The 13,151-nt window shown below is 38.3% G+C and overlaps 1 long non-coding RNA gene and 1 pseudogene across 4 annotated transcripts; one reads left to right on the plus strand and one right to left on the minus strand.

Annotated features, from left to right (window-relative positions):
- LOC101927293 (uncharacterized) lies at positions 3 to 12,142 on the plus strand. Of its 4 annotated transcripts, NR_187654.1 has the most exons (5): positions 3 to 197; positions 636 to 703; positions 3,972 to 4,198; positions 10,050 to 10,111; positions 10,549 to 12,142. It is a non-coding gene; the product is annotated as an uncharacterized LOC101927293 (long non-coding RNA). The 4 variants fall into 4 exon arrangements; NR_187655.1 differs by lacking the exon at positions 3,972 to 4,198; NR_187657.1 differs by lacking the exon at positions 3,972 to 4,198 and having other exon boundaries at positions 11,594 to 12,142.
- Positions 6,051 to 7,193, minus strand: GAPDHP15 (glyceraldehyde-3-phosphate dehydrogenase pseudogene 15; annotated as a pseudogene).
- Positions 12,143 to 13,151: the final 1,009 nt, after the last annotated feature.

Consider the following 13,151-nt stretch of genomic DNA (forward strand, 5'->3'; position numbering starts at 1 on the left):
CCGCGCAACTCAGACCACTGGAGCGGAGTAGTATCTGGAGTTTCTGTAACATCCTTTCCCTTTTTTTTTTTTTTTAAAGCCAGAGCCTCTGTCGCCCAGGCTGCAGTACAGTGGCGTAATCTCAGCTCACTGCAACCTCTGCCTCCCGGGATCAAGCGATTCTCCTTCCTCAGCCTCCCGAGTAGCTGGGATTACAGGTGCCCGTCGGCTAATTTTTGGTTTTTTGTTTTGTTTTGTTTTGTTTTTTTTGTTTTTGTTTTTGTTTTGAAACGGAGTCTCTGTCGCCCAGGCTGGAGTGCAACGGCGTGATCTCGGCTCACTGCAACCTCCGCCTCCCGGGTTCAAGCGATTCTTCTGTCTCGGCCTCCCAAGTAGCTGGGATTACAGGCGTCCACCACCAGGCGCAGCTAATTTTTTGTATTTTTAGTAGACACGAGGTTTTGCCATGTTGGCCAGGCTGGTTTCGAACTCCTGGCCTCAAGTGATCCGCCTGCCTCGGCCTCCCAAAGTGCTGGGATTACAGGCGACACCCTTTGCTTTTTTTTTTTTTTTTTTTTTGAGGCGGAGTATCACTCTGTTGCCCAGGCTGGAGTGCAATGGCGTGATCTCGGCTCACTGCAACCTCTGCCTCCCAGGTTCAAGAGATTCTTCTGCCTCAGCCTCCCAAGTAGCTGGCACTGCAGACACGCACCACCACACCCAGGTAATTTTTTGTATTTTTAATAGAGACAGGGTTTAACCATATTGACCAGGCTGGTCTCAAACTCCTGACCTCCTGATTCACTCATCTCGGCCTCCCAAAGTGCTGGGATCACAAGCGTGAGCCATCGCAAATACAAATATTCATTAAACGTATAGGCTGTCTACTTACTCTATGACCTTTCTACCTAGACTAAAGCCAAAAAACTCTGACACCCTAAAAGATTCATAAATTATTTACTACATAAGGTTTAGATGCATCATTACCAATATTGCACATAGAAATTTAATGTTGTTAGTTGAGCAAACAGATGCCATGACTATTTCTTCTCTTTATAAATCTTGGTGGCTTATGGCAGCAGAAGCCTACTCCACTATTTAGGCTCCTATGACAGCTACTTTTCCCCTGTTGAGAAAGTTTCACCTTAAGTTGCTACCAAAAAAATTATACAATTAATGTATTTTGTAACTCCTGAAAATAATTGTTTATATTATCATCTCAAGTAAAATAAAATATTTTCATAGAGAGATGGAGAGATGTGTAGGCAATTTATCAAATATTAACCTCTTCCTAAACATGGGGTTGAATTCCTCCCGTAACATTGTAACGTTGTTAGAATTATGTGAAAGGGGGCTTTGTCTCAACTATCCTGCTAGTCATTCATTCAACAGCAATCTATTTATGTTGTATGTTTCCCTAAATGTTTCCATTTTTGCCTCCAAACACTGCTAATTTGGTTTGGTTGCTATTTATTTTATACTGTCTTATAAATCCCCTGGAAAGTGTATTGCCCCATGCCTGCACACACTGCAGTACAAGAGTGTACTGAAGTACATAATGGAAGGGTTGGTTTTTTCTGCCACTCCATCGCTTGAGTTTAAATAATAAGGAAACACAGAGATCTAAAACATTTTGAACAGTTAAGAATTATTAAAAGAAAGTAGAATGACAAACAGGAAAATTATCTATCCACATCTATATATGTATATCTTTCTAGAAATGTCCTATAAGGACAAAAGAGGAAAAAATGAAGGGAAAATTATGAACCCTTGAATATGAGTCCTTCTGAGCAAAACTCTGTTCTTAGCATTTCTCCACTATTATCAAGTTTCTAGTATCCTCCAAGAAAATACCATATTATCATCCTGGAACTTTGGTAGTATATACCTGTCCTTTCTATCCCTATCTACAGAGACCTGTCTGATTTAGATTCTAAACTGACCTTCCTCATTTTTTTTTTTTTTGAGACAATATTGCTCTGTTGCCTATGGTGGAGTTTAGTGGTGTAATCTAGCCTCACTGCAACGTTTGCCTCCAGGATTCAAGTAATTCTCATGCCTCAGCCACCTGAGTAGGTGGAATTAGAAGTGTTCCTCATTTTTAAAACTCTAGAACACAGAAATTTTATTTGTCTCCCAAAGTCCAAAAATTTAACAATAAAAGAAAAATTAAGAGTCAGCTTTGATATCCTGACATACAGTCTTCTTTGAGATATTAATACCTTTTATAATAAAAATGAATGGGTATTTTTATGACTTTTTAGTAAGAAAATAGTGAACCAAACCTGCTTGCACACATTTATATTTACATAATTCTCAAAGACAAATATTTAATTATAGAAACGGTATATATACATATGTACACACATACATACATTAGTGACTCATATTCAAGGACTCATATTCTAGGGTTCATAGTTTTCCCTTCTATATATATATATATATACACATTATATATATACATACACAGACACATGTATATACACATATAAAATACTAAAAAATGTTTAAAAGTTAACTTGTAAATCTTACATTCAGATATTCTGATTTACCGTGTCTATATCAAGACTCAATATGGTTTTGTAAAAGTAAACACTCCAAGTAGTTTCGATGCAAGTCATCTAAATCACTCATTAAAAAAATTGTGGCTCATAAGTGTTCATTAACAAATAAATGGATAAAGAAAATATGGTATATATACCCAAAGGAATACTACAGCGCCATAAAAAGAATCAAATCATGTTATTTGCAGAAACATGAATGAAACAATAGGTCCTTATGTTAAGTGAAACAAGCCAAGCATAGAATGACAAATATTGCATATTCTCACTCATTTGTGGGAGCTAAAAAGTCTGATCTCAGTAAGGTAGAGAGTAGAATGATGGTTAACAGAGGCTGGGAAGGAGGCAGGATGAAGATAGATATTGGTTAATGGGTGCACATGTAGAGTTATATAGAAGCGATAAGTTCTAGTGTTCAATAGCACACAAGAGTGATTATACTTAGCAATAATTTATTGCCTATTTCAAAATATTCAGAAGAAAAGACTTAAAATGTCCCCAACACATACACACGAAATAAATGTTGGAGGTAGTGGATATCCTAATTACCATGATTTGGCCATTATGCATTGTATGCATGCGTCGAAACATCACATGAACCCCATAAATATGTACAATCAATATGTATCAATTCACAAAGACGGAAAGATGGAAATGTTTTCGTTTATAAAAACAAGGATGGAAAAAAACATCCTTACCTAAATACTGTCCACAATGTCACCGGTGCTTTGCATCATTCAGGTGAGCGATGTTAGTCTCCCTTCTACTTATCCCCGGGGTTTAATTTGCACCAAGATTGTTGTCTGCACAAAGATTCAATAGTATACAGAAAATCTTATGGTGACCCAGAGAAGATGTGAAATGATTATAGTTTTATGCCTTAGATGATGTTGCATTTCTAGCCATGGCAACACATCCCCAGAAACTTTTCTGTAATTAAAATGGAAATACTATATAATTTATCATTTCATTATAAAAGTAGTTACTCTATATGTGGAAGGTTTTGGTGGTGTAATTTCCCCAGATATGTATATCAATATGTGCGAGCAAATGCTTGTAAGTAAAAACAGATAAGATAATTTTATATTCTATATGATGTTAAGAGTGTTAAGCCAGAGCAAAATTTCATTTTGAATATGGTAACCCTGGATTTGTTGTTTCAATCTGGATTTTATATTTTAGATAGGGTTAATTAATCAGAAAATAGATCACTCTTACTGCCTCTTCTGAAATTTTAACAAATAGTTTTGTTATCTGTTAAATATCAGCATCTTTAAAGTCTTTGGAGAGACTCTTTTCAGTTTCAGTAAAGCATTAGTGTTTGTACACTAATGTATGTTTGTCAGGTTTATTTATTTATTTATTGACCTCAGTGCAGGAAAATTTCACCCCAGGGGGTCTTACATTATTTTTCTACTCCAAAATACATAGGCTACACAGAACAACATCATTAGCAACATTGTTTCAGCAAGGAAATAATCCTTATTGGCAAAGGGAAACCAAGGAAAGAAAACTATTGTTTTCTTCGGCTACATGCTGTCTGCAAAGCACCCCATGGATTCAATTTCTCATCAATTCAGAATGGAATACTAACGTGCTGCCTAGAGATACAGAAGTGGGATGAACGCAGGGCCTTACTCAGCATTCAGAACAAAACTGTGAGTAAACTTTCGGGCATGACATGCTTAGAGTCAGTCATAGAGGAAAAATAGAAGCCTCAAGTTCTATTCAGAGACATCAACTTACCAAAGTTTAGGCTAGTATATTCGTCATTTGCACTGGTGCTTTCCAAAGACCCGGATGCGACATTAGCAAAGTCTTCTCATGACCATTCGTGTGCAATAAATTCATAAAGGTAAAATATGTGTATTTATTCTCCACATATTTTTTAATTGTATAAGCTTCGGGCTCAGAGGTGGCTTGGAAAAGATGTCCCTGACTGCATCTCCCTTCACTGCATCTTTGTTCAGCAAAATCTTATTTAAGAGCAAATCATCCTTCACTGATATCAGTGAATATGGTAACGTGAAAAAAATAACAATATGAAGGTAGAGAGAACATGGAAGGGGAGGTGAATAATGAACTGGAATGTCCAGTTGGAAAAACCATCTAGAAAGTATTGAGAAGGTATAATGATTGATACTATCATAGTAAAGTCAGAAGACATAGAGAAGTAGTGTTGACACATCCCATGTTTTGCTAGTCTCAGAATTAAAACTTAAAGAAATAATAGTCAATAATTTTTAATGATTAAATAAAAATGATGAAAAGACAATGGATTAAAATAAAACAAACAAAACTGCCTCTACATTATCGATGTTAATGTTAAGGAAGTTAAAGACAAAAAAATAAGCTTCCAGACAGAAGAAAACTTAACTACAAAGAAGTCAAGTGGAGATGAACATAAAGTATGAAAAAAATCTTTCTATGCAACATGCAATTAGACGTATCTAATAACTTGATAATATATAATATAGTATAATACATCTTGTTAATAAGAATAATTTAGAATGCATTAAGTTTACCTATAATTTATAGGTTGGTTAGCCATAGTAAACATGATAATACATAAATGTAGTTCTGTAATTTCAGTATGTAATGACTCCCTACAATAACTTTTGGAAGAAGTGTACATATGGGGGGAATCAATAAGACATACTCCATCAATCAGCTATTGTTGAGTAAAAACCACATCAAAACTTAGCAGATTAAAACAATAATTATTTATTATTTCTCATGATTGAGCCAAATCTGGCTGATCTATGCTTATATATCTGAGAACTCAATAACAATAGGTTAGTGGAAGTCAGTCTGTACTGAGACTACTGGTATCTGCTCTGTTGTAATTAACTTTGTGGGCTAACATTGCTCATGACATTGACTGGGCTCCAAAAGCAACAACAGAAACAAGAAAGCTGTTTGAAGCCTAAGCTCATGGATGACACATTCTCTTCATGACATGAAACATGAAGTAAAAAACTAATAATATCTTTACACACTTAATATACATAAAAGTAATAAAACTACTTATTTATTTAATTTTGCATTTAGTGTTTGCCCATCTCTGTTTAGCATATTGAATACCTATCTAAAAGTGATTAAAATTGAGTGAGGAACTCAAAGAGTTTATAGAACAGTGAGAAAGAGAATCCAGTCATAAGAAAATGCATCTGGAGTAAAACTGGATGTACAGACTTCCTGGAAGGGGCATATATTTATGCTACCTCAGTGTGTTATTTGAGTAGATATGTAGTTAAACAGAAAGGATGTAAAACATCAGGCTGAAGGTAAAATGCCACTATGTTTATGATTTTTTTCTTTTGTTGAGTACAGGGGACTTTATTGATGGTACATGACAAGGTGGGGCTCCCTAGGCTTCTCCCATTCTTCAGGGGGTCTGATGTGGAAACTGTGTTGAAGGGAGAGTCTCAGCATGTCAGGGACAGAATGTGGCAGCGACTTGCTAGCCCCTGAGGACCTCTTTTCCTGTTGTTTTCTCACTGGGGCTGATGGTCTAGGACAGTGTGGCAGGGACTTGCTGCAGCTGAGGGCCTCTGTTTTCTTGTTGTGTTCTCACTGGGGCTGATGGTCTAGGGGGCTCTTACTCCTTGGAGGCCATGTGTACCATAAAGTCTATCACCCTGTTGCTGTAGCCAAATTCCTTGTCATATCAGAATATGAGCTTGACAGAGTGATCACTGAGGACAATGCCAGCCCCAACGTCGAAAGTGGAAGGGTCGATGTCACTGTTAAAGTTGGAGGAGACAACTTGGTGCTCAGTGTAGCCCCACGATGTTCTTGAGGGGCCCTTCCGTGCCTCCTTCATTACCTTCTTGGTGTTACCATATTTGGCAGGTTTCTTTATATGGCAGGTCAGGTCCACAACCAACATGTTGGCAGTGGGGACACAGAAGGCCATGCCAGTGAGGTTCTCATTCAGTGTGGGGATGACTTTGCCTTGGTAACACTAGTTAATTGCAGGGGTGATGTTCTGTAGAGTTCCATAGCTGTCATCCCAGTTTCCCAGAGAGGTTGTCTTCGTCTTCTGGGTGGCAGTGATGGCATGGACTGTGGTCATGAATCCCTCCATGATGCCAAAGTTATCATGGATGACCTTGGCTGGGGGTGCTAAGCAGTTGGTAGAACAGGAAGCATTGCTGATGATTGTGAAGTTGTTTTTGTTTTTCTCATGATTCACAACCATCACAAACATGGGGGCATCAGCAGAAGGGGGAGAAATCATGACCCCTTTAAGTGAGCCCTAGTCTTTTCCAAGGTAGTGATGATGCTGGTGGATTCCACAAGATAATCAGCACTGGCATCCCCCTATTTGATTTGGATGGGATCTTGCTCCTGGAAGATGGTAATGGGATTGCCATTGATGACAAGCTTCCCATTCTCAGCCTTGATGGTGCGTGGAACTTGCCATGGGTGGAATCATACTGGAACATGTGGACCATGTAACTGAGGTCAATGAAGAGGTCATTGATGGTGACAATAATCACTTTGCTAGAGTTAAAACTGTACTAGTGATCAGGCACCCAGTAAGGCCAAATCCGTTTACTCTGGCCTTCACTTCAACCTTCGTGTCTCAGGGACATGGCTGGCACTGCACAAGATGTTACTGTCTATAGAATGGGAGGAGCAGAAAGCCTATATTTATGATTTTTATATAATTGCAACAGCACGGAAGAACGGTTGGTGCCTAGTATGCATCTTGCATATTTGGCATCCAAAACTATTGCTTGATTTGATTTCGTTTCAATCTAAAACTTTTTTTTTTGTAATATTAACATTTGGGGGAATTTATGCTCAGCTGCTCTTCAGAGAATAGAACACAGAGATGATAGAATTGGTAAACTGTAAACTAGTGTGGATGAATCTTTTGTAATGGTTGATTTTGTGTCACAGGGTGCCCAGATATTTGGTTAAACATTTTTTCTGTGTGTGTTTGTGAGGGTATTTCTGGATAAGATTAACATTTGAATTAGTAAACTGAGTATAGACGATTGCCCTGTACAATGTCCCCAGGCCTCATCCGATCAGTTGAAGTTTGAATAAAAACAGAAGGCTGAGTAAGGAAGAATTCACTCTCTCTGCTTGACTCCCTTTGAGCTGGGACATCAGTCTCCTCCTGCCTTTGGACTTGGACTGAGACTGAAACTTACACCATCAGCTCTCTTGCTTCTTGGGCCTTCAGACTTGGACTGGAGCTATACCATCAGCTCTCTTTGAGCCTGCTGACTTTCCTAGCTTGCAGATCTTAGGACTTGTCAGCCCTCATGTTGCATGAGCCAATTCTTTATAATAAATCTCTCTCTCTCCCCACACACATGCGTGCGCATACACACACACACACACACACACACACACACACTAGTGGTTCTGTTCTCTGGAGAACCCTAATACACATTTTGGTATGGAGTCTAGAGGAACAAAATCTTAAGAATGAGCTTTCTGAATTGGTTCTGGGGTTTTGTAATTGGCTCTGTAATGTAATTAGATTTAGAGATTCTCATAACTCTATTTCCAGCAGTAAAGAGAGCATTGATAGTACATGTTGTACTCTGGTGATAGCGATATACAAAATAGCACCATTTGATACTCTGAACCACTTATAGGAAGTAAAGATCTGAATGACTGTTTATATGAGACTTTCTAACATTTTTGGCAAACTAATGAGTATAATGAGATTGACTGGTTGCTCCTATTGTCACTAGACCAAGTGGGAAAAATAAAGGATGAGCTCAGAGATTTGAATATGATAAAGATCAGTGTCCCAGAGGCTGATGGGTGGATCATAGCAATCCCTTAGCCTATTTACCTGAAAGGGTGCTTGTACCAGGTGTTAACAGACTGGGTGAGTAATTTGAGGGACTTGCTCCAATATTGGGAAAAATGAAAACATGAGGCCATCTTGAAAAGTTTTTAAGAGCAGAGATAAGCTTTGTTCATCTTTGAAAAAATTGCACATCCATGGGCTTGGTACCTTTTTACTGGTGTGTGTTCAATAAAGGCTGGTTAAACTGGGCCACATTCTTGATGATGGAGCATTTCCCTTCCTGTTGAGGCTTTTCAATGGCAATAGAATTGCCTAGTAGCTGAAGAATGAGTGCTAAGGTGCAATGTTCTGGGAAACTAATAAGGGAAGTTTATTGATATAAATTTGCCTTACTCCAGAATAAGTATTTTTTGGCTGGCAGTGTTTTTTTATTTTATAGCTGTCTTGACTACTAGCAAGAAACTCAGGGAATATAAATTCTAACTTGGTTTTAACGGTAGGAGAGTACATGGCATCTCTTGGCCTCAGATCCCTCTCCTTCAATTTAAGTAGGGTAATCATATTAACCAAATCATCAGGCTGTTATAAAACATATTTTAATAAAAATATCCCCATACGAAAGAATCCCTTTGGTGATTAATAAAAAGTTGGTATAATGAGGTTGTAATCTCCAGCTCAGTAGGAGGAAGAGAACTACAATGGGAAGTATTGAGATTCTTCAACCCCATCAGGGGACAATTACAATAATAACCATAATAACAATAATAATAGCAAAAAACCCAATAGTACTTGCCATTTATATTACATTAGAGCCAGAAATTCTATACAGAAGGAGGGTGGCACCCTAGTTGGAAGGAGGTACTGAGGCTAGGAGACACCTTGTGGTTGAATTGGTATAGCACTTTACCTTCGATTGAGAAGACGACAACTGTTAGGATCAAAGAATGGGGATGGGCTGGGTGCAGTGGCTCACACCTGTAATCCCAGCACTTTGGGAGACCAAGATGGCGGATCACCTGAGGTCAGGAGTTTGAGACCAGCCTGGCCAACATGGTGAAACCCCGTCTCTACTAAACATACAAAAGTTAGCTGGGCATGTTTGTGGGCACCTGTACAGCTATTTGGGAGGCTGAGGCAAGAGAATCACTTGAACCCGAGAGACGGAGGTTGCATGAGCCAAGACCATGCCATTGCACTTCAGCCTGGGCAACAAGAGTGAAACTCCATCTCAAAAAAAAAAAAAAAGAAAAGAAAAGAAAAGAAAAAAGAAAAGAATGGGGATGGGGCAGGTGAGTGGAGGTGAGGAATAGGGATGGGGGTGGCACATATCTGGCTACCTCAATCGTGTGAGCTGAACTTTTCTAAGCCAAGCAGGCACCTCACTACCAAATGAAAGACCCAGTGATGATTTAAAATGCATATAATCCAAGCCTGTGCCTTTGACAGTCAGTTTTCTCTAAGAACTTATCCCTAATGTTGACAGGATACCCAACTAATTATCTTTGGTCACTTAGTTAATTAATTCCTACAAGAAATTTAATGCCTGAACCCTCTTCTCACTCCCCACAAACTACTTCTTTATGGCTGATGCATGGTGCTTTGCCATTTCAGAACTTGAAATAGTTTACTTACATCAATATACCTATTGCAGATATAATTCCTGTATAGTCTTTGTTCAAATAAAGTATTATTTGTTCTTTAATTTTTGTTATGTCATTCTCTCACAGGATGGTGCTAGCATATATAAGACTGAAACACCAAAGTCCTCCGTGGAAGTTAATGAATTTCTGTGAGTGCACTTTACGTTACATAGGAAGTTGTTTGGTAGCAAGTAGCACATATTTGGGTGATAAGGGGTTAATATGCTTCCATCTACATAAAAGTTCAAAGTTTGATTATTATGCATTGCATATCAGGGTGGATGACTAGTTTTGATTTTGTCAGGATAAATGTGTTCTCCCTGCTCCAACCATTATGCCAAGGATGGCCTTATTCTAGAACCTCCTAATTCTGTTTTGAACATTCCTAGTCATCATTCCTAAAAATGAAATATTATATACTAGTACATGAGCTCATGAGAGCTTTCATAGCTGTAATTAAAGATGCATAAAAGGCATGTAACACTTTCAACTCAAGTCACATGCTGGTCTGTTTTATCAACTATTCGCAAAGATTCTCCTGATTGGTGATTAAAAGTGGATTAACAATTTGAGTTTCTTTCTTCAGGGTTATGAGTTGGATTCTTCAGCGGAGTATTTGAGCCATGCCTTGAGGCACATACTTCAAGTTGCTGCATCCAGTTTTAAACTCCAGATTGAGCTTTACATATTAAATGTGCACATTTGTTTTCACATTTTTGAGCTTTGCCAGTGGCACCCTCTCTAATTAATCATCCCGCGGGCTTAGAAAACTTCTGCCCAATCCTTTCTGATTTGTTAAAAGAAAGAGAGAAGGTTTTAGTCTGAAAAAGGCCTTATCTGATAAACATCACATTATATGGATTTTTACATTTAAGTACATTTTCTTTTTAAATCCGGTGGCTTTCCCAAACTAGAAAGATGGAGTGTTTGCATACATCCACCAACCACCAACATCAGCAGAAAGAAAGCTTGATACAGTAAAGGAAAGAAATGGCAATTTAACAGTTCTTTTATTTTCCATTCAGATCACATACACATTAACCAAATGAGGCCTCACAGCGTGGAATCTGATATCATAGCAATGTTTTCAGGAAGCAATAATTGAATACTCCTCATTAAAAAGGTTCATAAAAGAATCCTATTAAAACCAATACGAATAATAAACCTTGAAAATGCTGCTTTAAATTCCAAGAGGATGGCGAAGATCTGCGTCAGTAACAGTCTTCCTGTTCATAGAGTGATTTTGAAAATCTCGTGGGCTGAATTTTTCCAAGCCAAGCAGGCATCTCACTATCCAGTGAAAGACCCAGGGACTATTTTGAATGCATTCAATCCAAGCCTGTGCCTTTCACAGTCAGTTTTCTCCAAGAATTTATCCCTAATCCTGACAGGATACCCAACCAAAAGGCTAATTATTTTTAGTCACTTAATTAATAGATAATTCTTACAAAGAGCCCAACACCTGAACCCACCAAGTCCTCTTTGCATGGGCAAATCCAGCTGGTTTGATGCACTAATTTCACTAAATGAAAATTTGGACAAATTTTATGTTACTGCAAATAATGGTAAATGTATCCAATTCAAAAAATAGTAATAAAAAGGTTATTTTTTTGTTCCCTTTTTAATCACAGAGGCAGCTGTGGTAGACCCCAAATGCACAGGGCATATGGCTCACCTCACCACCCCAGATGGTGCTACTGGCCCAGCCTTCCCAGCGTCCACCCTGGCAGTCTTTCCTCATTCCCTTGGCCCTCACCCTGTCTCCTCAGCCTTCCAGCTGCACTGCTATTGTAGGCTGCTCTTTCTCGACAATCTCCTCTTATTTTCTGTGATGTCTCAGGATGTTTCTTCTTCTCAGGGGTTTTCCAAGCTTCTTCCACACTCAGGTGCTCAGACGTTTTTATGGTCTGGCTTCTGAAGGAGATCAAAATTCATATGGACAGGCATTTGTGTATTAGCCAAGAGTTGCTAATGCATTTCTTGATCATAAGTCTCAGAGAAATGGGATGAAAGATCTTAGATTTTTATACACTCTGCTTCAATGATTTCTCAGCTTTTCTGATCTGAAAAGAATAAAGGACACCTTTTAGCTAAGCACTTTCTGTTTTATTTCTTATAATGCCATGTAGTGGCTGTTACTGCCAACACAGCAGTCATTTAATAAACCCTGAATGTCTGTAGCATTTCTTCTCATTCGTTTCAGTGAGTGCTGTTCTTTTCTGTGTTTATTTTTAATTTTTTTTTTCCATGCAGTATTTCTTGCACCCTCTTATTACTCCTCAGCCTTTGGATTCTAGATCAGTGGTTCTCAAACTGCCTGCATCAGAACACCTGAAGGGCTTGTACAACACAGATTGCTGGATCTCATTCCCAGAGTTTATTAATTGTTAGGTCCAGGTGGGCCAGGGAATTTGCATTTCTAACATATTCTCAGGTGATTCTGCTGCTGCTGGTCCAGGCACAGCACTTTGGGAAATGCTGCTCTAGAGAGAAGAGAAACTAGAGGTTAAGTGTTTTAGCTTGAGGGTCAGTTGTAATCCCTGCTTCACTGCCTTTCTAGCTGGGTAGTCTCTCAGCAGATAAAGCTCCCCCAAGTTCAGTTTCTTCACTCTTAAAATGAGTTTATTAAAACATCCCTAGCAGGGTTGTTTAAAGGAAGAAATTATATAATGTTTATTAAGCCTTTGAAAGAAAAGCGATCATGGTGGGTGTTTTGCTGTTATTACTTTTTATTTCTTCCTGAGGACTCAATTTTTAGAACTTCTAATTGAATCATAAAGGATCCTTCAAGCATCCAATTTGGTTAAGGAAATTGTGTGTCTGTTTAGAAAATAAGAAAATGAAATCCTTTTGAGAGGATCTTGACCAGATAGATTCTAAAATCTACCTGGACATGCTAAACAATAGTCAAGAGAATTTTGAAAGGAGGCACCTCTTTTGATGTGAGTCTTACCACAATCAAAACAGTCACAAGAAATCAAAATATGTTATAAAGTCACAAAAATCAAAACAGCATGGTATTGGTTTAGGAAAATGTAAGTCAATTAAATGACCAGAGTAAAAAATTTTATATCACATTGAGAGACAGGATTAGCTGGATTTCCTAGGCTGACTAAGAATTCCTAAGCCCAGCTGGGGAAGGTGACCACACCTACCTTTAAACACAGGGCTTGTAACTCAGCTCGCACC

Source organism: Homo sapiens, chromosome 6, assembly GCF_000001405.40.
Source record: "Homo sapiens chromosome 6, GRCh38.p14 Primary Assembly".
Lineage (NCBI taxonomy): Eukaryota > Metazoa > Chordata > Mammalia > Primates > Hominidae > Homo > Homo sapiens.